Source organism: Homo sapiens, chromosome 1 (assembly GCF_000001405.40).
Source record: "Homo sapiens chromosome 1, GRCh38.p14 Primary Assembly".
In the NCBI taxonomy this organism is placed as follows: domain Eukaryota; kingdom Metazoa; phylum Chordata; class Mammalia; order Primates; family Hominidae; genus Homo; species Homo sapiens.
Genome location: NC_000001.11, coordinates 227,749,155 through 227,771,971, shown reverse-complemented (window position 1 = coordinate 227,771,971; position 22,817 = coordinate 227,749,155). Strand labels below are relative to the sequence as shown.

The following is a 22,817-nucleotide window of genomic DNA, read 5'->3' as shown; positions in this document are numbered from 1 at the left end:
TGGTAGTGGCCTTGGGAGGGCTTGTCAGGTGCTGGCCTCCGGCCCTCAGCACAGGTCCCACACTCTCTCCTGCCAGGCCCTTTGCACCGGTAGTTTCCCAGGTGGTTTCTGGGTACTGGTTGGTGTGAGCATCTGGGACCCCAAGGGCTGTGCCTGGCATGGCCTCCTGTCCCCATCACTCTGAAGCCATGGGCCCTGCTCAGCCCAGGGTCCTGGGTCCTCTGCAGTCATGCCCAGCACAATGGGAGTTTGGGGGGCATGGGCACAGGAGTGGCTCACCCGCAAAAGCAGAGGGTGGGGGTGGGGGTGGGGGTGGGCGGGGTGCACAGAGGCGGGTGAGCAGGCGTTCACTGTCACAAACCCATTAGCCAAAGAGCATACAGGTTAAAAGGGAAGGCGTGGTGTTCCCCTGTGATGCCGCCTCCACTCAGCTGCCATAAGTCTGAGTTACAGGGCACCCTCAAGCTACGTGCATGCAGGGCCCCCACACCTGGTCCAGGGCGCCCCTGGGACATGGCCTCCTGCTGTGTGCATGTTGGGCTGCAGGGCACCCTGTCCCCATTCCCAGCCTCTTCTTATGGATCAGCATTTAGAAAGTGCATGCAATGTGGTGTCAGGGGCATGAGTAATAGGAACTCATAGTAAAGGCACAGATCCCCAAACATGGCGGCTTAGCTCAGCGCTTCTATCTGACTGCTGTCAAGGCCATAAATAAAAACAGCATCACAAAACCTCACAGCCCCCCAAAATATTGACCTCCTGCCTGTGTCGTGATGAACACTTGACATGAACAGCCTGGAAAAGCAGGAAAGTACGGGACGCTGAGAGCCTGAGTGGAGAAGGAGCCTGGCCTCCCCACCCCTCCTCACTCACAAGCAAGGCCCACTCCTGCCTGGCTAGCCTCGGAGGGTGGGTGCTGCGTTCAGTGCCCCCGCAGAGCCCAGTCACCTTGGGGGTGGCCAGTCCCACCATCCCCTCTGGCCATAACCTGTTCTCCAACTCGCCTGCTCCACACACTCCCAGTGGGCCCAGGCAGGAGAGCGACACTTGTGTCAGGTGCGCTCAGGACAGAGCATGGTGTCCATGCAGCTTCTCCAGCCCCCGGGGACTGCAGGCGCCCAAAGTCACATGGGGCTGTTGGCCCCGACATGGTCGGTGAGCTCAAAGAAGCCAGGGCGGTCATACACTGATTAAGACCCTTATTTCAAGTACTAGGGAGACACTCTGTGAATATGATTATCTTACATTCATTAGGTACACACACATGTTTTTTCCCCTGACTAGGAGAGGACACAGATTAATTGAGGAAAGTTTAGATTAGAGACATCAGGGATAGGGAAGTGAGGGAAGCCAGACCAGGAACGGGGGTCCCTGAGGAAGATGCAATGCATTCTCCAGTTCCTAAAAAAGAGAAACAAAAGGAAAGAAAGGGATGTTACCTTCTGAAAATAGTTTCATAGAAGGCAGGGAGCCCCAGAATGACTTCAGAATGTTCCAGCAAATCACCAGAACTGGTCCACATGGGACATGACGCTGTGGAGTGGGCAGAGGGTTTCTGCCAAACAAAGACGTGAGGACAGAAACACCTGGCTCCCCACATGCCCAGAAGCTGCAGTCCCACACCTCCACGTGAGCCCTACCTGAGCCCCAAGTGAGCCTGACCGCACCCTCAGTCTCACCCCCGTCCCAGCACCAGGCTCGGCTCCCTGGGAACCCTTTGACTCTGAATGGAATGAGTTGCATGGCTTTCCTGTTACCATGTGTGTTTGCATTTGTTGTTTATGGAGACGTCACAGGCAGTGGTACGCTGGTCGCCCCATGCCATAAGGCAGGAGGCTGAGGCGTCACCCAAGCAACCCCTGGGACCTGTGCCCACAGGGACCGGCCATGGCACATCTGTTCCTATCAGGAACCACGGCAGGAGTGCAGCAGGCTTCTTTCCCACCATCAGGCACCAGCGAGGCTCCCACCCACTCTCCCGCCAGACCCAGTGTCTGTCGACACTGAGTGTCCACCTGGTTCCTCCCTGGAGACAGAGGGACGTGGACACAGCAACCCCAAAGCAGGACAAGACAGATGAGGCTGCATGAGCTGGAGTGTCCCAGGGAACTGCCCTAGACCACCTCCAGTTCTACTGTGTCCAGGCACCGCGTCCATGGCGTGGGCCCTAGTGGATTCCACAGCCGCAAAGAGAAGCGGACAACAGAAGCAAGTCAGGGGCTCTGTCAAATCCACCTCCTACAGCCCCCGGCCCTCCACCCTCCACAACCACAGTGACACAGTGGCCAGGGCCCCAGAGACAGAAGGGCTCGCCGTGTCACCCCTGCCTGTCCTGTGTGATCACAGCCACCCTCTCCTGAGCACCCCCAGTTGCAACCCACACCACTGGGACACGTTTCAGCATGATGGCTTTAATAGCATCTGCAACAAAAACCACAGCTGGATGAAGGGGGGTTTCGTGCATTTTTATTTTCCCCAGAAATGTAACTCACTCTGGCTTCTGCTTGAGCTTCAACTGTGCACTAGGAATTCTCTAAATAGGAAACACATGTATTGCCTCAAAAAGACAGTCTCCTGTGAAACTAGGCTCCTCCTGCAAGGAAGGGGGCCCGCATCTGACCAACGTGCTGCCCTTGCCCCCAAGGCACACCAGGCCTTCCTGGGCCCTCCCAACCCCATACCTTGGGTGACTGCTTCCTCCCGCTCTGCCACTGGCCTTGATGCCACAGTCGTGAATGTGAAGCCTGTTCCTCCCGGTGTTGAGCCACTGGGCTTGCTGGATCTTTAATGATGGCAGTGCCCATGCAGCCCCAGGGGAGACACAGCCTGGATGGCTGGTGGGGAGCCCCACTCACCCTCAGCTCCGTGCAGTCACCTGACCACCTCCCCAACGCTCCCGGGCTTTGAGGTGAAGAACACGCCACACGTGACAGGAGAGTCTGATGTGTGGACACTTGAGGGCCTCTCCAACTACATGGCCACCATTGCAATTAACAGGTAAAATTCCTATTTTTTCATCTTAAAGCTTTGCTCCTACTTCAGTCTAAACACAACCGTGGGATACAGTGAGTATCTCGGCCGTGGACACCTTTGTGGGGTGTGGGAGTGGGGTGTGCTCAGATCCTGCCAGTCTCAGCCACGTGCCGAGGCACTCTCAGGAGGATGGCTGGGAAAGAATCAGGTAAGTCTATCTTTACAGTATTGGGATTTCTCAAAAACCCTGAGCAAACGAGACCCAGGCCAAGAATGTTCTGGAGGCAGTGAGTGTATCTGAAGGTGACTAGGAACCTGCAGAGTGAGCTGGCTACACCTACCAGGCAGTGCTGTGTGTGCCATTACCAGACATGACTAAGTGAGGCCGGGAGGAAAAAGTGACAGGCTGTGTCCACTTGAATTACCCCAGAGCAAATATGAACACCTTTTTCCCCAAACAAGCTGGCCTCAAAGGAGTTTATGCCTACACAGACACGTAAAGTAAGAATTGGTTTTTAAAAACAGGCATAAGAGACAGAGTGTCTTTATCCACCTCCTGGTGGACATGGGCAGAGCCATCCACAAAACACTCCCTACAAAAACAGGGCCGGGCCTGACAGAGCCCCAGACCCACCTGCCGACTCAGAGGCTCAGGGACGGGGAGCCCATGCCCTGCGTGGACACAGAACTGCAAGATCCAAAGTGCACAGTCTCAGCCCAACAGACAGCTTTGCTTTTTCCAGGAATCAACTGTAGGGGAAGACGAGACGGAAGCTGCACCTGGAGACTGCATGTGCGCCACATACCCTGTGGGACACACCCTTCAGCAAGGGCTCAGAAGGTGGGAGCACTGCCTGGATACTGGATGGTGCTGAGGAATGACTTCCTGTTTCCTAAGGCGACAGTGGCAGTACGGTTCTTTCTGAATGGCTCTTATCCTTTAATGATACATATGGAGATATTTACAAATGAAGTGATATGATGACTGAGTACAGCTTCAAAAATTACTTGGAAAGCCAGCATGTTAGGCAACAACCTCTGGACAAGATAGGAGTATTTACACTGAACATTAAAATTCCAGCCTCCCAGGCACAAAGTGCTGAGCCTCCTTAAGAACCAGTGCTCAGCACATGAGGGCTGAGTGAGCCATGCACCCGACTGTGCATGCATACAGTGCACACACAGAACACGCAACACACAGCAGGCATGTACCTGCATGCATGCACAGTATACAGAGCACACATGCACGCACATGCACAGCACACACAGAGTACACATACATGTACAGTACATGCACGCTCCACACACAAGACATGCACATATACACATGCCCATGCACAGTACACACAAGGTACACATACAGCACATATACATGCATAGTACATGCAACACATACACCACATGCACAGCACACACATGTGCATACACACACAACACACACAACACACACATGTACTCACAAGTACACACACATGCACATGCACATACACAGTACAAGTACATGCATAACATATGTACACATAGCACACATACTACACACAAATGCACAATGTGTACAGTACATGCACACTACACACAGCATGCACATGTACATGCACGGTAAACATACACACCTGTGCACACACACACACGGACATGTACAATGGGTGCAGGTGGTAGCCAGGGCAGCTGTGTGTGCATAGGAATGTGTCTGAATGTGGTGCATGTTGTGTTCCAGGAAGTGTGTGGACCTGGGACGGACACTGCCCTTCCTCCCTCCCTGCAGCTGCCGAGTGGAGGCCAGCAGCTCCTCCTTGGTGCGAGGCCAATACGGATGGATGACCCAGAGCTTGTTTGTGATCAGAAAGGCAAGAGGAGCAGCCTGCGGGAAGACTGGGACACAGCGCTGGCTGGCATGGCACTGGGGACATCTTACCTGGGTTAGTTCCTGGGTATCTGCCTCAGAAAGGGCTGGCAGGCTTGTCTGCAGGTGCAGTGCTGTGCCCTCCTGGTCTCCTGCGGGTGGCTCACGGTGCAGGGTACGGCCCATCAGCCCAGATGCTGCAAGGAGAGCAGATGGTCAGCAGTGACATCTCTCGGAGTTGCAACAACCCTCGTGTGCTCTGGATGGCAGAGCGTGGTCTTTGAGGCGGTGTTCCTCCCGCCACCACACGCAGGACTGCTTCCTCTCTCGACCTCTGTGAGCCTTGCCTTGCCACCCGGCCCCGAAGGATTAGGGTCTGCAACACTGCAAACAGACGGTGGCCACTCTGTACCTCTCAGAGTAAAAGCCCTACATCCCAAGTGGTTTTATTTTATTTTATTTTTGAGAAAGGCTGAAGATTTGGAGTAAAAAACACAAGAATCATTGAACTCTGGTGAAATGCACATCACACACGACTGGGGAACTGCAGCGACATCTGAGCTACTCTGCAGAAGGCTGAGGTTCTGGAGAGCACAGGAAGTGGCCCACAGCCCAGGCCAAGCACTGCCACACGTCTGCGCCACCGAGGTGGGAGGTGAGTCAGAGCTGCCCGTGGTCAGGCTCAGAGAGGACCTGGGTGTTTCCACCCTGTGGTGAGCCTCAGGGCTCCAAGCCACCTGCCAGAGGCAGTCTCGCTCCGCAGAAGGTGGCCCAGTGTGCCTCCTGCAGAGGCCACCTGCCCTTTATTTACAGAGCAGCTTCAACAGCAGCCTTGACACCCCGGGGCCCAGATAAGGGCGCAATGTTGTTTGCTCTTCTGCAGCACACGCAGCTCCCCTACGTCTGGTGCAGCCGTCATTTACGAGGATGTCAGGAAACAGGCAGGGAGAGTGCAGCTGCAGTGCCAGCTCCTGATGGGGCAGGCAGGCAGGTGGGTGGCCTCAGCATCCCTCCCAGGTTCCTACCTCAGCCAGCAGAGCCCGTACCCTCCTCAATCCTGATGGATGCAGCCCGGGAGCAGTGGCTGAGCGTGACATCAGAAAAGGAGAGGAAAGGGGGGATACCTGGGGGTGCACTCTTGCTGGGGCCAAGGGCATACCCCCTCTAGCCTATCACTCCCTAAATGATCTTGACAAGCTCACCTTCCAACCCCACCCTCCACAGGAGAGATGCCACCTCCAAGATGCCACCCCCGCCAGCCTATCAACCCCCAAATGATCCTGACAAGCTCACCCTCCCTGACAGCACCCGGCTGAGCAGAGAAGGACCAGCCTTGCCCAGGGCCACAGGGGACTGAGCACAGGGATGGCCCTAAAGAGGGAGCAGCTCCAGGCCCAGCAGATGGGTGCGAGTGCAAGTGGGGAAGTGGGGTGAGACTCAGGTGGGAAGTAAGGGGCTCCCTTCACAGATAGCACCAGCGGGACAGATTGCCCAGTGGGCTGTTTTCCTATCCCACTCTTCAGAAACAAACTCTGGTTACAACCAACAACAATTTCACAACCTAGGTTTGCAACACCCAAGCTGTATGTGGGTGCTCTCTGGGAAGCTGCGGCCCACTACTGTGCTTCTCTGAATTTGTGCATTACCCATAGGAGCCTGCAGGCCCTCACATGAAGCTGCTCACTGAGGAGCCCTTCTCTGAAACACTGAGCCACAGTGCACAGGCCAAGCTAGGCTGGAAGACACAGCCACAAACTCAGAGGATGTGTGCCTCTGGTGACCTGAGATCACAGGGTGGCCCCCGTCCACCTCGCAGCACCAGCACAGCCTAGGCCACAGGAATGGAGGGGCACAAACTGCCCAGCCTGCGCTGCACCAGTGCCTCCTTCCTCCAAGAGCCCCATACCCCACCCCGCCCTGCCCAAGGCTCTCGTAGTCTGGTCTGCAGTGTGCTGTCTGCAATGTGCTGTGTGATGGTCTATAAGCCTGCTATGTGCTGGTGCCCTTTGACTTGCTGGGTGTTGGGAGCTGAAGGACTGTGTGCTTTCCTCAGCATCTTCTCAAGCTGCAATTCCTTGGCTACAATGTGGGCTTTAAAAAACAACAACTATTTATTTTGTAGAGATAGCATGTCACCTAGGTTGGTCTCAAACTCCTGGCTCGAGTGATCCTCTTGCTTCAGCCTCCCGAGTAGCTGAGAACACAGGCATGCAGCACTACGACCTGCTAATTTTTGTGTTTTTGTTTGTTTTGAGACAGAGTCTTGCTCTGTCGCCCAGGCTGGAGTGCAGTGGTGTGATCGCGGCTCACCACAACCTCCGCCTCCCAGGTTCAAGGGATTCTCCTGCCTCAGCCTCCCGAGCAGCTGGGAGTACAGGTGCACACCACCACACCCGGCTAATTTTTTTTATTTTTAGTAACATGGGGCTTCACCATATCGGTCAGGCTGGTCTTGAACTCCTGACCTCGTGATTCGCCCGCCTCTGCCTCCCCAACTGCTGGGATTGCAGGTGTGAGCCACCGCGCCTGGCTTAATTTTTGTATTTTTTTATAGAGACGGGGGTCTTAATATGTTACCCAGGCTGGTCTCGTCCTCCTGCACCCAAGTGATCCTCCCACATTGGCTTCCCAAAGTGCTGGGCTGCAGGCATGAACCACCGTGCCCAGCCGACACAGGCTCTTCAGGGCAGAGCCCCTGGGCCTCCCTACCTACGACATGGCTTTCATTTCAGCACCTGAGGCTGCGTGACAGAGACACTCAGGCCGTTCTGGAATTTTAACAAATAGGACTTTGCTTAAACACTCAGAAGGCTGGACAGAATTCTTACGCCTCAAGCCATGGATGTTTCTGCTGGGCGCGGTGGCTGGGATCCTGGTGAGGCTGCATGCTGCCATCTCCAGAGCCACAGTGCTCGTGGAGCTGCTGAGTCACTCTTTTTAACATTTCTTCCAGGAAAGCTTAATTTGGTTCTGTAAGGATGGTTTCTGCCTTGGGGTCATGAGTGACTGCAATTAAACAAAAGCATCACAGGTGGTTCACAGCAAGAAGGGTGGGGTGACTCGACTGTCCGGGAGTAGGAAGTGTTCCAGACACCTATGCACAGCCTTGCTGGCCTGGGGGTGCAGGAAGCCAGCCCAGGAAGAGCCCAGGGCACACTGCTGGCTGCAGAATGTCTTGGTCATCTGGAAAGAGAGTGCCCTGAGGCCACAGGCCCCTGTGCAAGACACAGCTCTGTCTTCACTGCCAGTGCTGAGGAGGGGCTGCCTGCACCTGCCTGGGAGCGGGGACCTGGGCCACCAGCCTGTCTGTCTCCAGCAAGCCCCTTCCCTCAGCCCTGGCCTCCAACACTCACCTGTCACCCAGGAAAGGCCTCTGCTGGGCCTAGTGGGCCTGTGAAGCTAGCGCACAGGTAAGGACAGCGTAGGGAGCTGAATGGAGGAGACAGCAGCTTGTGTGCTCCATCTCCCACTCAACCAATACGCACGCGCAGGTGGGGGCTGAGCGGCATCCTCTGATAGGCTCCAGGCCAGCTGATGCAGTACCCCCAGGCTCCCCAGTCAGCCCAACCCGAGCCCGCGGTGCCACAGCAGGCTCCTGGGTGCTTCAGCTCCAGTGGGAACTTCCCTGCCTCAAAAGACGCCTGGCACTAACGAACTGCAGAGACAACCTCAGCCACCCCAATGCTCTGGTCCTTTACTAACTGCCCACTGCATCCGCCTGCCTCCTGCCCTGTCCTGCTGCTGGTGCTGCTGTGCAGACAGACACACGGCCCGGGGAAGCAGAGGTACAGGCAAGGCTGTCATCAGGGAGCTGGAAGCCCAGGCAGGCCTTACCCCCAAGACAGGCAGTGAGTGACAAAGAAAAATCTCAGTGATCAAACAGCCTTCAAATACGCTGTGCACAGCAGGGTAGAGGCTCACGCCTGAAATCCCAGCACTCTGGGAGGCTGAGGTGAGAGGATCACTTGAGCCCAGGAGTTCAAGACCAGCCTAGGCAACACGGCAAGACCCCATAATTAAAAAAAAAAAAAATTAGCTGGGCATGGTGATATGTGCCTATAGTCCCAGCTACTTGAGAGGCCAAGGCAGGAGGATGTCTTGGGCCCAGGAGATTGAAGTTACAGTGAGCTATGATTGCACCTCTGCACTCCAGCCTGGATGACAGGGCAAGGCCCTGTCTCTAAAAGAAAAAAATAAATAAAAAGAAAAAGAAAATACTGTGCATGTCCCTTGGTAGGATGTGTGGGAAGGAAACCTCACCCTGTGGCCTTCCTCCCAAACCACAGCCCAGGCCGACTGCAAGAAAATCTGAGACAGAGGCTGCTGTGCAAGCCCTGGCCCAGCCTCCAGAAGGCTGTCAGAAGCCACAGGGCCCAGAGACATGTGAGGAGGGTGATTGTGCGGTCCTGGGTGCTCCTCAACGCAAGGACGAGTGTCTAGAATAAAATAAAACGTGCACTTGGCACGCAGCCCTGCAGAGGTCTCTGGAAAGGCTCCCCGCCCCGGGTGTCCCTCCCTGACAAGCGCCCATCCGGTGTCGCGAGGCTGCCACCCTGTGGCCACACGTGCACCAGCGCTCGTCCCAGAGGCAGGGATTTCTGAGACATCCGTCATGGTTTCCACCTCCAGGGAGCCCACAGTTTCCAGCTGAGAGCAGTAAACACAGGGAAGCTGGCACAGAGTCCCTGTGCCTACGCATGGACAACAGCAGCAGGCGGCAGGCAGAGGCAAGGCCTCAGAGCCACAAGTGCCCCACAGACTACTGAGCTCCCATCAAACGGGGCGCCGCCTTCTTGCTAACATAGCACCAGGCAGGGCACCACACGCTCCAACCCCTGCATGGAGCCTCTTCAAGAACACCCTCTGGAGGCACAGCTGCCCCCATGAGACCAGCACTTACCTGGACAGGCCAGGTTGCCCATGGGGGTGAAAGTGAGCACGGAAAGGTGGCACAACAGTCCCCCACAGGAGCAACAGTCCATCTCACACATGCAGCAGGTCCCTGTGGGACTGTGTGCTGTGTGTGCCACATGGCAAGATGGCTGCCCCAGGTACTCAAAACACCACGGGCCGGGTGCAGCTGTGCAAGTGAAAAGACGGTGCTCGCTGTGGCTACAACCCACACTCAGGTGACCTGAACTAAGGGGGCCCTCCTAGCCGAGCAGGGAGGGTGACGCCATCAGTCCTGAATCCTGAATGCACGTTGAGGCCCCCAGAAAAGGTGATAGCCCTCTGACCTCAAACGGCACAGATTGCAGGAACCCACTTACAAACACCAGCCTGCGGAACACAGGAGTGCTCGCCACCACGGTGCAGCCAGGTCGGCAACATGGCAGGGCCACTAAACACACTGAGTGCTTCTCTACTGGGACCCTGGAGAGCAGTCCTGAACTCCACAGAATGTCACAAACTTCCTGCCTGACGCCACACATACCCAGGGACCCCTCTTCAGTCCCCACACCACCAGTCCACAGCACGTCACATACCTCCTCCCTGAAGCCACGTGCAGGAGTACGCCTGTACCATTTACCTTGAATGTGGGTGAAGACCTCTGCTTCCTATGCTTCTGTAGCCTGTCTCCCACTAGGACACTCGGGTTCAGGCCTGCACTTTAGTGACAGCAGCTCATGGTGACCTTTGATCTCATCTTGATCAATGGATTTCATTACATTTCACACCACATGCTCCATTCCATAGGGGTCAATGCCTCTCTTTGCAACCCCTGACTTTAAGACATATACAGAAAGGTGGTAGGTTTTCTGTGATTCAACTACGTGCTGCATATCTAAGGTGTGCACCTTTCATTTTTAGGGTGTGTATTCAGCCCTGGGGCTCATGGGACTCAATCTATTATTATGTGTATTTCTTTCCGAAACTTGAAGCCATCTGGAATAGCAAGCAAAACATTTTCATGTTAGAGAAACAGGTTATAGGAACTGAAATCTTTCTCTTAAGAGAAAAATTAGAGAAACCGAAAGGGTAGCAAATATCTCTTACTTTTAACAGACACCTGGCATTTAAAATCCTGAAGAATACAGCTTTACATGCTGTACGTATAGACACGCATTATAGTGTGGACGTACATGTCACATACATGCACAATACATAGGCATTGATACACATGTGTACATATGTATACATGCATGCGTATTAGCTATAATGCTAATATTAGAAAATGGAGTCTTTTATGACATTCAGATTTCTTAATCAGAGCTCGAAGACAAACTGCAGGGGAAAATCGGTGGATTTTACCATGGCAAGATAAAAGATTTCTGTAAGGGAGGAAGAGACTCTAGAGGAAGTGGCTATAGCCTCTAAAGCCAGCCAAGGCTGATGGACTAGGATAGTAGGAAAGTCGTGCACATCTGTGGGGGAAGAAAGCACATGAGGAAAGAAGAAAACAGAACAGGCCATCCATAGAGCAAAACCTGCAGGGCCAAAACAAATACAACGCATCAGAGGCCCCACCTCCTAACCAAGGAAAGGGTAAAGGCAAGAATAACACCAAGAGGCCACCAGCCTCCCATCAGACGGGCAGGACCATGGCGGCTCCTAGCACATAAGCCTCGGTCCTGTGCTAGGGAGGAGGTAGGCCAAACGTGGTGGACGTGCCAAGACCCAGGGTGTCTGCCCCTCAGCCCGGCCCCCAGGACAGGCCAGCTGAGCATTCACAATCTACAATGGAGTCTGCGGGAAGGTACCATGGCCACTCCACACACATCTGAGAATGCCACAAACACACAGAACCACGCTGCACAGTTCTCCAACACACAGATCCCTAATAGCATGTTTGGGCGCCAGGCTAGGAAAACCTAGATTAAATGCCCAGGGAAACAAGAGTGGGCAAAGTAGGGGTGATGGGAATGGCCCCACCAGGGGAAGTGGAGATGGTGCCAGTAACAATCCTGAGGTGCTGGTTCCCACATCAAAATGAGGGGAGATGACAGAGACAACAGCAGGAGCTTCCTTTTGCTCTGATGCACTCATTCTGAAAGCCCTTTCTGTGTCGTAGCAGGTTCTGCATCACCATAACTGAGCACCTGAGACTGGGTAATTTACGAAGAACAGACCTTTAGTCAACTGACAGTTCTGTGGGCTGGGAAGTCCAAGGGCATGCCCTGGCTTCCACCAAGGGCTCTCGTGTTGTGGCAGAGACACTCAAGGGGGAAGCGGACACAGGCAAAGAGACAGAATCAGAGGGGCATCCTGCCTCCTAACAACCCACTCTTGGGAACTAATGCATTCCCAGAATTCATCCAGGCTTCCCAGAGGGAGCACTCACTCACTACCATGAGAACATCACTGAGCCACCCAGAGGGCAGAGTCCTTGTGACCAAACACCTCCCAGCCCTGCCACACTGGCGACCAAATTTCCACATGAGCTTTGGTGAGGATAAACTGTATCCAAAGCATGGTACCAACCGCTTTGGAATTCACGCACCTATCAAGTGTACAGTTAACTCTCAGTGATTTCAGATTCACAGATGTCAAGTACAAGGAAAATGGTCTGGAATTGTTTTTATGTATAAACAAACGAGCTGTCTCTAGCAAGCTGGAGGCCAGCAGCTGCTCTAGGTGACGCATCTGTTAGGCATTTCCCACAGGCGTGCTGAGTCTGCCTGTAATTTTAGAAGTCTGTGCACGCGCTCACTGCCTTGTCGGTCACTAACCTGCATGCCAGACTGAGCAGCTCTTCTCTGCGGGGGAAGAGGTTCTTGCGCTTCTGAGCACCAATGCATCTTCTAACAGCTCCATCTTCTTGCTGAACTGCACTTCTAAAATGGGGATAACCTCTGGCATCTTGGCAGATATCAAACGATAGGCCATGTCTGGCTTTCCAATAAACCGCTGGCGGATGCTAATTTCGTAAGGTGAGTGGACCTTGATGTCGTCCACGTCTTCTCTTTCAAACCTGTGCATGAGCAAAGAACTGGAGTCATGTATTTCCAACCCAGACACAAGGACGGTGAGCCTCCCTGGTTTAACGTGAGACTCTGTTCTGTGGGAAATAACAGCAGGAATTTTTATCAGTATCCCTTCTTTCCCAAAGGGTTCACAACTGGTCATGGAGACATCTTCCCTGGGCTTTGTTTCCGGTGGTGTCTTCCAAAGCTTGGAGCTAAAGGGCCACCAAGCAGGAGATTCCAGTTCTGTCAGCAATCTGAAAAAGCAAACAAAACATGGAAAACTGGATCAGTTCATTTTTAAGGAGTAATACCTTTTTTTTTGGAAAACGGTTTTAACCTTTGTAAAGCATGTTGCCATTTTACTCTACTTCATTTCCACAAGCACTCCATGAAGCAGGAGGCACAGGGACTTTTATCTCCAGTGTGAGAAGAGAAAGCTGGGGGCCAGCAGTGAGAACATTCATCTAGATGCAAAGCCAACCAGCAAAAAGACAGCAAAAATGCACACCTTCTGCCTAGAATATCACTCTGCCCACACCCTGCTGCCTTGATCTGGGTCATCTTGATTCAAAATGAAACCTGTACTTACTGTCTAGGGAGCTATCTAACAGACCTTTCTGCAGTGATGGAATGTTCTACGTCTGCGCTGTCCATACTGTAGCAGGCACACGTGACAACTGAAGCTCTGCCTAGCAGGCCCCTTCCCCCAGCCTCAGCCAGACTCAGCATTAGATGCTTCCCCACCACCCACACTCTCAACACCCACTCTCGTCCGCATGCTCCAGATTCCTGTTGGTGCCGACTGCACCTCCTCCTCAGAGTACACTCTGCACCCTGTCTTTCAGCCTCTGCTGGGATTGGAGTCTAGTTGAGCATCTACAGGTGTGGGGACAGAAGCTGAGGAGAACCCGGCACGTCTTGCAGGATGAATCTCCCTAGACTGGGAGGAAGGGCTACCTCTACTGGCCAGGAAGTTTCTGTGGCCTTCAGGGACTCAGCGTCCCCAGCTTCTGCAGACTGCAGCCATGCGTCTACACTGGGGTTCTCAGGGTCCCATTCCTTCTCGGTCATGCCCTCAATGTCACAGCAGATGCCATGCACAGTTAGAATTCAGCCATCTGCAGCAGGAGACTCCAGATTCTGTTTTCACAAAGCTCTGTCCTGCAGCTACAGGAGCTAAGGGCTTCCCTTGGGGCAGATCCAGAAACGTCCAGGCTGTTCCTGGAGCACCCTGAGCTCATTTGTTTCTTTCCCCATGCTGCCCAGCAGGGTGACTGCGTCAGTCAGGTTCTCCAGAGAACAGAATCAGTGGGTATGCTGGGGGGAGAGAAGGAGGGGCTTATTTGAAGGAATGGCTGCCATGGTTGTGGCACTGCACCTAAGCTAACTGCCATGGGCCAGCCTATTAGAATTATTAGCAAGATTACATGGGGAAAATCATGGCTACTTTCACTAACTTCCAGTTGAATGTGGCATTTCCTTCCATCCTGACTGTAGACAGCTTCAGTATTAGTTGAACCTTTGACTGTCACCAACAGAAGTCTCATCACATTAGTTATTGCAGATCTCAATATATCACATTAACCCCTGCTTTAAAATAACTGCAGTTACTAGACCTGCCGTTGGCTTCAGTATCCCATACATCAATGGGAAGACATTATATGACCTCAGCAAGAGTTTACAGTACACATCCTGCATTTCTTATAGGCCATTCTTAGTCAAGATTATGTATCATTATCCAAATTAAAACAAAAGGTGCACAGTTTGCTGACTGGCGTTTGGGATTTTGATGAAGGTAGATGAGTGAGCACTCCGTGGCTTCCTTGCCCTGACTTATCTCTAAGTGACTGTAAGATTTTTGATGCAGTAGATGGATGTGAAATGTCAAAATGGTGCCCTGTGCTGGCTGCACCCAAGATGGTCTGTTTTAGTTGCCAAGAGCCACACTCACACGTTTTCTTTTACAGTGATGACTTTAGGTTTTCTTTTACAGTGATGACTCCTAGCCCTATAGTGAAGCTCTAGGGATGAACGTGGAGACTTCTGGTTCCAAAATCATGCCATAGACACAAGCTGGCTCCACTCCTTCAGCTGAAAACCAGAAACAAAGGCACAGCACCAGCAATATCCCAGAACTCAAATGTGAGAATGGGATGGCCCCTGGAGCCACAGAGAAAGGAACAATTCCTAGAGAGACTAAGGGAATTGAACTTCCACATCTGAGACGTCCCTCATCTGGAGAAAGTTCCCCTGACTCACAGTCTCTAACCTGGAAAAAGTGAGATCGAGGTGAACAACCTGCTTCCCTGCCTCTTGGGCTCCCTGGCAGGAGGCCTGCTCCCACCTCAACCCATGGGAAGCACTGCCAAGGGAGAAACGTCCCTGAGCACAGCCAGAAACAGTGGGGCATGGCAGGACCAGGACGCTCAGCCCTGGGTGCTGTGCACGGTAACTTGGCCTAAGCAGACACCTAGAGCTGCTGTTGGGCAGCAACACGCCATGGGAGGTGCAATCCCCAGGACCCCAGGCAAAAGTCCCTCGCCAGCCTCTCCACATGATTGGGACATCCCCTCCAAGATCTACCCCATTTCAGACAGGCAGCACCCTAACTGTTTGCTGGAAATACACGTGGGCAGAGCCACCACCATCGGGGCACTGCTGAGGATGGTAGGATGCTTCTGAGCAGGCAGAAGGACAGGCAGGAGCCTGATCTAAATGGCCGGGGCCGGGTCCAGAAATATTCTGTGTATCAAAGTGGCACCTGGTCACGCACAGGGGATTTTCTTAAAGGTGACTAATTTGCAAATTAGATCTTAAAGGAAACTGATATTGACAAAGAAAGAAGAAAAATCATACTCATACCTAGGAATCTCAAAACTGAAAGGGGACTGAAGGTCCTCTGGGCTGGGGTCCAATGTGAGTCGCGTTACACAATCCAAAAGAGATGAGAGACGCACTGCTCATGTGACAACTTACTAGGCTTTCAACAACTGTATATAGTCAGAAGTGTTGCTTTTATTAAGCCAAATTTTCTTTCCTATTACTTTACCACTGTTGATTTAAAAAGCCACACTCTGTAATATATTTTAAGAGATTTATTCTGAGCCAAATGTGAGGACCATGACCAGTGACACAGCCTCAGGAGGTCCTGCGAACATGTGCCCAAGGTAGTTGGGTTACAGCTTGGGTTTATATGTTTTAGTGGGACATAAGACATCAATCAATGCATTGGTTCAGTCTGGAAAGACAGGACAACGCAAAGCAGATGCTTACATGTTACAGGTAGATTCAAAGATTTTCTGATTGGCAATTGGTTAAAAGATTGGTTAAAAGATGGCAATTGGTTAAAAGTGGCCCCCTGGCGTTGGGCCACTCAGTGGCCCAGGTTCTCCTCCAATTGTCCCAGACAAACTCCACGTCATTCTGCTGGTTGGTGGCCTGCAGGTGAGCCAGTGCCTGTGGGTGCATTCCTGTCACCTTTAGTTAAGAGTTATTATCTAAAAACCTGGACTCCCAGCATGGGCACAAAGTGAGACTCCATCTCTACAAAAAAATAAAAAAACTAGGCTGGGTATGGTGGCTCACGCCTATAATCCCAGCACTTCAGGAGGCCGAGGTGGATTACTTGAGGCCCAGGAGTTCAAGACCAGCCCGGCCAACATGGCAAAACCCTGTCTCTATTAAAAATTCAAAAATTAGCTGGGCATGGTGGTGTGCACCTGTTATCCCAGCTACTCAGGAGGCTGAGGTGGGAGAATTGATTGAACCCGGAAGGCAGATGTTGCAGTGAGCCGAGATCACGCCACTGCATTCCTGCCTGGGTGACAGAGCGAGACTCCATCTCAAATAAAAGAAAAAAAGAAAAAAAAGAAAACAAAACTAGCCAGACATGGTAATGCATGCCTGTGGTCCAGCTACATGGGAGGCTGAGGTGGGAGGATCACTTAAGCCCAGGAGTTGGAGGCTGGAATGAGCTGTGATCGCGCCACTGCACTCCAGCCCAAGTGACGGAGTAAGATCCTGTCTCAAAAAGTAAATAAATAAAAACCTGGAATCAACTGAAAGGAGTGTCTGGGCTGGAGATAAGGGGAGGCCAAGGTTGTTATGAAGATTAGGTCTTATAGGTGGCCGCACTTAGAGATGACAGATGGCAAGTGTTTCCTATTCCAACCTTCAGGAGGAGGAGGGCATAATGAGGCATGTCTGACCCCCTCCTTCTTTTCATGGTCTGAACTAGTTTTTCAGGATTACTTTGGAATCCCCTTGGCCAAGATGGGATCCATTCAGTTGGCTGGGGTGCTTAGGATTTTACTTTTGGTTTATACAACTAAAGGACCTAGTTTAGCGTTCTAAAGAAAAAGGTCTCAAGTGACAGCCATCAGTTATTTTAGGCAGTCTTGGTCAGCTTTCCTCTCCAGGCAAAACACTTTTGATTCCCTCTCACAGGTCCTGGTTTTAGTCCTCTCAATTTCCTGTGACCCCCTCATTTCCTCAGTGTTCCCCTCAAAGGCCTGCAATGCTCCTGTGCCTCCTGAAGGAGCAGGGCAGGCCACCAGCTCTGATCACAGTGCCGTGAGGTGACCTGCCAAGCACACAATGACATGGGTGCACACACTTTAAAAATCTCTATACAGCCACTGAGGAAAACAGCATGGAGGCTCCTCAAAAAATCAAGGAGGAACCGTTTTGGAAGTGCTGGAAAGGGAAGGGCGTGGTCCCTTTAAATGATATGGAAGAGGGGAAGGGAAATGCTGGGTAGAGGAGGGCGTGGTCCCTGGCTAGGGCTCCACCCTTACGGATGGACAGATGGAGGAAGGTAAAGACAGGCATTTTTGTTTTCCTGCCCAAATGCACTTCCCAAGACCACCCTGGCCTGCCACACCCCCATCCTGTGCCTATAAACACCCTGAGACCCTAGCAGGCAGACACACAGGTGGCCAGACCTCAAGAGGAGCACATCAGTAAAGGGACACAAGGGCAGCTGGATGTCAAGAGGAATGCACACAGGCACCAGCACGGCTGTAGGCCACCAACTGGCAGAATGATGCAGAGTTTGGCTGGGGCAGTTGGAGGAGAGCCCAGGCCACTGAGTGGCCCAACTCCAGGGGAAAACCATCTCCCTTCGGGCTTCCCCATCTGCTGAGAGCTACTTCCACTCAATAAAACCTTGCACTTATTTTCCAAGCCCATGTGCAATCTGATTCTTCTGGTACACCAAGGCAAGAATCCCAGGATACAGAAAGCCCTCTGTCCTTGCAACAGGGTAGAGAGTCTAATTGAGCTGGTTAACACAAGCCACCTACAGATGGCTAAACTAAAAGAGCACATGGTAGCACACACCCACTGGGGCTCCAGGAGCAGTAAACATCCACCCCTAGATGCTGTCGTGGGGTTGGAGACCCATAGCCTGCCTGTCTGTATGCTCCCCTAGGAGGTTTGGGCAGCAGGGCACTGAAGCCAGCCGTGGCTTCAGTGGCTGGCTTCAGTGCCCTGTTGAATGCCCTGTGAGGGGGACAAGGGAACCTTTCCTATTTCAGAACCACCATGATTTTGCAATCCTGCTTGTGGGTTTACACCTGTTCCATGGTGAGCAGGCCTATGTAAAACTGCCTCCGATGTGAGGAAGCTGAGAGGCTGCAGAAAGAGGATGACAGACCCCGCTTCTCAGAAGGAAGCATCTAACAGCGACTTATGGACAGGGAGGCAGGTCTGTGTCTTAGGCAGCAGTGAGATGAGGCAGTGGATCCCATGCCATGGCCCCCAGACCCAGGGTTTCTGCACCACAGGGGACATATGTGTAGGACAGACCCGGCAGGAAAAGATAAGAATGCCCCGTGAACCTGCCCAAGGGCAGAGTATGTGGTTAAGTACCTGCTCTTACACAAGGAACAATAAGTGAGGTAGAAATCTTAGAGGCATCCCCAGAAATGGGGTTAATCAGATGTTAACAAGGCCTATTAGTATCCAAGATGGAGTTGCTTTAGCCTCCACAATAGCCAAAGGAAATAAAACCAGTATCTCAAAGTGACACCGGCACTCCCAAGTTCACTGCAGCATGCTTCACTATAGCCAAGGCATGGAAACCACGTGTCCATCCACAGACGGATGGATTGAGAAAATGGAACAGTACTGACTCCAAGTTAGAGAAAAGCTTGTTTACTTGAACACAATTATTGCTTTGCTTGAGTCTGCAGATTATTAAAAATGCCTTGGGAAAACAGGACCTTCAACAGAAATAAAAGAAAATACACCAACCAACAACTCTGAGAACCAACAACTCACTCTGGGACTCAACAGCTCTGGGAACCAACAGCTCTGGGAATGGGCTGGCCAGCCTAAGAATAGGCTGATGGTGCCTGCAGAAGGCCACAAGGCATTGACCAAGAAAGCAAGGATTAACTGCCCATCTGAGACTCTGCAGGTTTCACAAGGGTGCTTTAATCATCTCCCTTAATTTCCCTTAAAAACCCCTGATCTGGAGTCACAACTCCAGGGGAGGTGATCTTTGAAAACAAGTCTACCACCCAGAGGTTGCTGGCTTCCTTAATAAAGCTAACTTTCCTTTCACCAAAGCTCATCTCTTGGATTTTGGCTTTCAAGCAATGAGTGGCCGAGACCTGAGTTCGGGTACAAAAATACAGTGTCTATATGCCATGGAATTTTATTCAGCCACAAAAAAGAAGGAAATCCTGCCATTTCACCAAGATGGACAGACCTGGAGCACATTATGCTGAGTGAAAGGCACCAGATAGAGAGAAAAACCCTGCATGACGCATGTGGGACCTAAAGAAGCCAAACTCACAGAAACAGAGAGAAGGGCAGGTGTGGGGCGGGTGGGGAAGCGGGGAGAGAGTGGCCAAGGGCACCAGCTTCAGTTACGGGATGAATGAGCTCTGGGCAGTAATGACATGGTAGCTGCAGCTCTCCATACTAATAGTACACTTGAAATCTGCCAAGAACACAGATCTTAGGTGTTCTTAACATTCTCAAGGAAAAAAAGAAAAAGGGAACAAAATGACAGGCATGTGAGGTGAGAGATGTGTTCGTGCGTATGACTGTGGTGGTGACTTCACAGTGGGTACAAACACTGCATCACCAAGCCACATGCCTGAAATATACACAGGTTTTCTCAGCAATACCTCAATAAAGCTGCAAAAAATAATTATACTTAAAAACAAAGTCTTGGCCGGGCGCGGTGGTTCACGCCTGTAATCCCAGCACTTTGGGAGGCTGAGGCGGGTGGATCACGAGGTCAGGAGATTGAAACCATCCTGGTTAACACGGTGAAACCCCATCTCTACTAAAAAATACAAAAAAATTAGCCAGGCGCGGTAGCGGGCACCTGCAGTCCCAGCTACTTGGGAGGCTGAGGCAGGAGAATGGCAGGAACCCGGGAGGCGGAGTTTGCAGTGAGCAGAGATCGCGCCACTGCACTCCAGCCTGGGAGACAGAGCGAGACTCCGTCTCAAAAAAAAAAAAAAAAAAAAAAAAAAAAAAAAAAAAACCAAGTCTTTATGTAATTGGCCCCATTCCTTCGCATTGTTTTTCTGACCTGCTTTTCAAAATCCTGTGTCAGATTTGTCTTTTTCTTGTGTCTGTTCTGTTTCTTGCATGTCCTGGAGGCTGGGCGCCCTGCCTGTGGGCCTGGGGAAGGCACCAAGGCTGCCTGCACCTGAAGGGACCGGCGTGGGCAAAGGCCAGGTGGTCTCCGACACTGCGACCTGCAGTCCTGCCAGGCTGACGACCTCAATCCTCCTGCCTGGCGGGAAAGAACTCTGAGCACCAGCACTAAGAAGGAACTGGACATGAATACAGGCAGGCACAGGGCCTCACTCTGCTGTGCTCCTCAGCACACAAGAATGGGGGTGCTGAGGATCAGCTGAGAGTGCACCTGGCCGGCGGTGGGGCCTGCGGTGGCCAGGACAGGTAGTGGGACAGGTGGTGGGGCTGGCGCAGGGTGGCAGGCTACCTCTGGGAGACAGCTGCTGAGCAGGAGAGAGACGTGGCGGTGCAGGCCGACGCAGGTGAACATAGGACGGCCTGTCCCAGGAGAGTGGGCGACACAGGGCGGGCTCTTCTTCACCGCACAATCAAAGCCACAGTGTTCAGGGAGCACTAAAGGGGCCCAGGGGCTGGGTCAGATGCCGGCACTGTGGGTGGAACTCTTGTTTCTCTGGCTCGGCCAGTCTTTGGGTCACCCACTACATTTCCAGAAGAAGGGACAGGCCCATCGCTTGGTGCCCGGCTCATTTCCCAGCAGGAGTCCATAGCAAACATGGGGGCTCTGGGTCCATGCCATGGATAATCGTGTGCCTTGGCAGCCTCCTCCCAATCTCCCTCTACACAGTCTCTGGGTGCACCCAACGCTGGCACTGATGCCATGTGGCCACACAGAAACTCGGCTGGGCACAGAAAAAGATGCTCCTTCTCCATGGCATTTGTTTTTTCTGTGACTGGGAGGAGGATGACACCCCAGGAAGCAGGGAAAGCCACATTGTGCACCCACAGCCTCCCCTCCAGGACCGCAGCACCCTCGCCTATGGCCAGGGCTCAGTCCTCTGCGAATATCCCCAGGCCTCCCCCTGCAGACACTGTCAGGGTCCAGCCCAGGGACACCCCTCAGCAGCGAGCCAGGGCAGGGAGAAGCCAGGACGGAGGCACCATGGGGAGGGCTCCAGAACCCCACAGGCGGGAGGGCAGAGGGCCAGTCCCAGCTTGCCAGGGCATGTGCCTCCCAGGAGGCTGTGATGGTCACATTAGTGTCCACATAGCAGGGCCACAAGGCCCAGTCGTCAAGCACTACTCTGCACGTGTCTGTGATGGTGTGTGTCCATGAGATTAAATAGAAATTGGCGGACTCCCAGGAAAGCAGCTCGGCCTGTAATGTGGGCAGGCCCCGTGCAACCTGCTGAAGGCCTTAAAAGAACAAGAACTGATCCGAGAAACAGAGTCATGGCCTTCGGCCTGCAACTGTCCGTGGGGCTCCAGCTGCTGGCCCCCTGCAGACTCTGACTAGGGCAAAACACACACCTGCCATCTACACAGAAGAGCTGGGATTGTCGGGGGCTCTGTCATCTTCCGGCTCCGGCCTTGTGCCAGCAAAGCTCTGACTGAAAGGATCTCCTCTTAGTCAAGTACAAGATGTGACCTCAGTCCAACTAACCTGCATGCAATACTGATGCACCAATATGACCCCAGCTTAGGGCTGAGGGACAGTGGCCAATGCCAAGGCGGGATTCCAGGGACACAGAGGTTCTGCCCACTGCAGCTGTGGGTGCTAGGAGGAAGTTCTCACTTTCCTCCGAACAATCACAAAACGAGAAACAACACGCTTCAAAATGACTTTTCAAGAAATAATAAAAGTAATTGAAAGCATGTAAAAACCTGAGCTATGTGTACTGAAACACACACACACAGATGACACACACAAATACACACAGACACAAACAGAAACACACAGACACACATACACATACAGACGACACACAGACACACACAGACACACACACAGGCTCTCAAGGACGTGTCCTTAAAAAAGGGGTAGAGAGCAATAGAGAAGGACGGCAAACTCAACACACACTTCTCCAAAGACAAAGGAAACAGACAAATATAGTGGCAGCCTGACACTGAAAAGCGGGCAGACTGGCAAATCCAGGAAGGTGGATAGTATGCCAGCAGCGGCATGCTGAGAGACCATGCAATTAGGGTGCCAGAGCCCTATGGGGTGATGAGGAGGGAGTACCAGCACCCTCCCAGCAGAGGTAGGAAGAACCAGCAACACGCAGGCACAAGTCCATGTGGCACTGCACTGGGAGATCCTCGGCTCCCAGATGGACCCACCCAAGTGGGCACCCCCGGATCCCAGAAGAGGGACTGGATGGAACCTGAGGGCAGAGGGAGTAAACTTTCTACCTGAGCCAGAAAGCAGCCCCCCAAGACTCACGCTCCAGACAGGACCCCAGGACGAGGAACTGAGGGTCCCAGTAAACAGCCCATGGGTGATACCTCAGCCCCACACACACCATCTTAGGAAAAACGACCGCGACAAAAAAGGCAATAAACAAGCACCTTGAAAACCCAGAAACCATAAGCAA

General features: G+C 52.6%; 1 protein-coding gene across 14 annotated transcripts in view, besides 9 other annotated features; it reads right to left on the bottom strand.

The window, feature by feature from the left end:
• The window catches only part of SNAP47 (synaptosome associated protein 47), a 53,059-nt gene that overhangs the window by 9,255 nt on the left and 20,987 nt on the right, over positions 1-22,817 (bottom strand). For 13 of the 14 annotated variants that reach the window (NR_136654.2, NR_136656.2, NR_136657.2 and 10 more), the window contains 2 exons: positions 12,487-12,977; positions 4,889-5,013 (listed from right to left, as the gene is read on the bottom strand). Coding sequence is in view for 10 of the 14 variants with exons in the window: in NM_001323933.2 (NP_001310862.1) it covers positions 4,889-5,013; positions 12,487-12,977 (616 nt within the window). In the remaining 4 variants the exon portion in view is untranslated. Of the gene's footprint in view, positions 1-3,607; positions 3,724-4,888; positions 5,014-12,486; positions 12,978-22,817 lie in introns of all 14 variants that reach the window. The other variant, NR_136655.2, reaches the window with a different exon arrangement.
• Positions 5,253-6,002: an enhancer, noted in NCBI's record as "H3K4me1 hESC enhancer chr1:227953671-227954420 (GRCh37/hg19 assembly coordinates)". NCBI's record gives its function as "activates a minimal SCP1, AML or CMV promoter by ChIP-STARR-seq in naive H9 embryonic stem cells {active_cell/tissue: H9 hESC(naive)}" and the evidence as "EXISTENCE:reporter gene assay evidence [ECO:0000049][PMID:30033119]".
• Positions 6,003-6,752: an enhancer, noted in NCBI's record as "H3K27ac-H3K4me1 hESC enhancer chr1:227952921-227953670 (GRCh37/hg19 assembly coordinates)". NCBI's record gives its function as "activates a minimal SCP1, AML or CMV promoter by ChIP-STARR-seq in naive H9 embryonic stem cells {active_cell/tissue: H9 hESC(naive)}" and the evidence as "EXISTENCE:reporter gene assay evidence [ECO:0000049][PMID:30033119]".
• Positions 9,011-9,100: an enhancer, noted in NCBI's record as "active region_2685". NCBI's record gives its function as "activates an Ori minimal core promoter by ATAC-STARR-seq in GM12878 lymphoblastoid cells {active_cell/tissue: GM12878}" and the evidence as "EXISTENCE:reporter gene assay evidence [ECO:0000049][PMID:35858748]".
• Positions 9,421-9,570: an enhancer, noted in NCBI's record as "active region_2684". NCBI's record gives its function as "activates an Ori minimal core promoter by ATAC-STARR-seq in GM12878 lymphoblastoid cells {active_cell/tissue: GM12878}" and the evidence as "EXISTENCE:reporter gene assay evidence [ECO:0000049][PMID:35858748]".
• Positions 9,754-10,504: an enhancer, noted in NCBI's record as "H3K27ac-H3K4me1 hESC enhancer chr1:227949169-227949919 (GRCh37/hg19 assembly coordinates)". NCBI's record gives its function as "activates a minimal SCP1, AML or CMV promoter by ChIP-STARR-seq in naive H9 embryonic stem cells {active_cell/tissue: H9 hESC(naive)}" and the evidence as "EXISTENCE:reporter gene assay evidence [ECO:0000049][PMID:30033119]".
• Positions 13,573-13,632: an enhancer, noted in NCBI's record as "active region_2683". NCBI's record gives its function as "activates an Ori minimal core promoter by ATAC-STARR-seq in GM12878 lymphoblastoid cells {active_cell/tissue: GM12878}" and the evidence as "EXISTENCE:reporter gene assay evidence [ECO:0000049][PMID:35858748]".
• Positions 15,432-15,521: an enhancer, noted in NCBI's record as "active region_2682". NCBI's record gives its function as "activates an Ori minimal core promoter by ATAC-STARR-seq in GM12878 lymphoblastoid cells {active_cell/tissue: GM12878}" and the evidence as "EXISTENCE:reporter gene assay evidence [ECO:0000049][PMID:35858748]".
• Positions 15,562-15,611: an enhancer, noted in NCBI's record as "active region_2681". NCBI's record gives its function as "activates an Ori minimal core promoter by ATAC-STARR-seq in GM12878 lymphoblastoid cells {active_cell/tissue: GM12878}" and the evidence as "EXISTENCE:reporter gene assay evidence [ECO:0000049][PMID:35858748]".
• Positions 21,467-21,968: an enhancer, noted in NCBI's record as "H3K27ac hESC enhancer chr1:227937705-227938206 (GRCh37/hg19 assembly coordinates)". NCBI's record gives its function as "activates a minimal SCP1, AML or CMV promoter by ChIP-STARR-seq in primed H9 embryonic stem cells {active_cell/tissue: H9 hESC(primed)}" and the evidence as "EXISTENCE:reporter gene assay evidence [ECO:0000049][PMID:30033119]".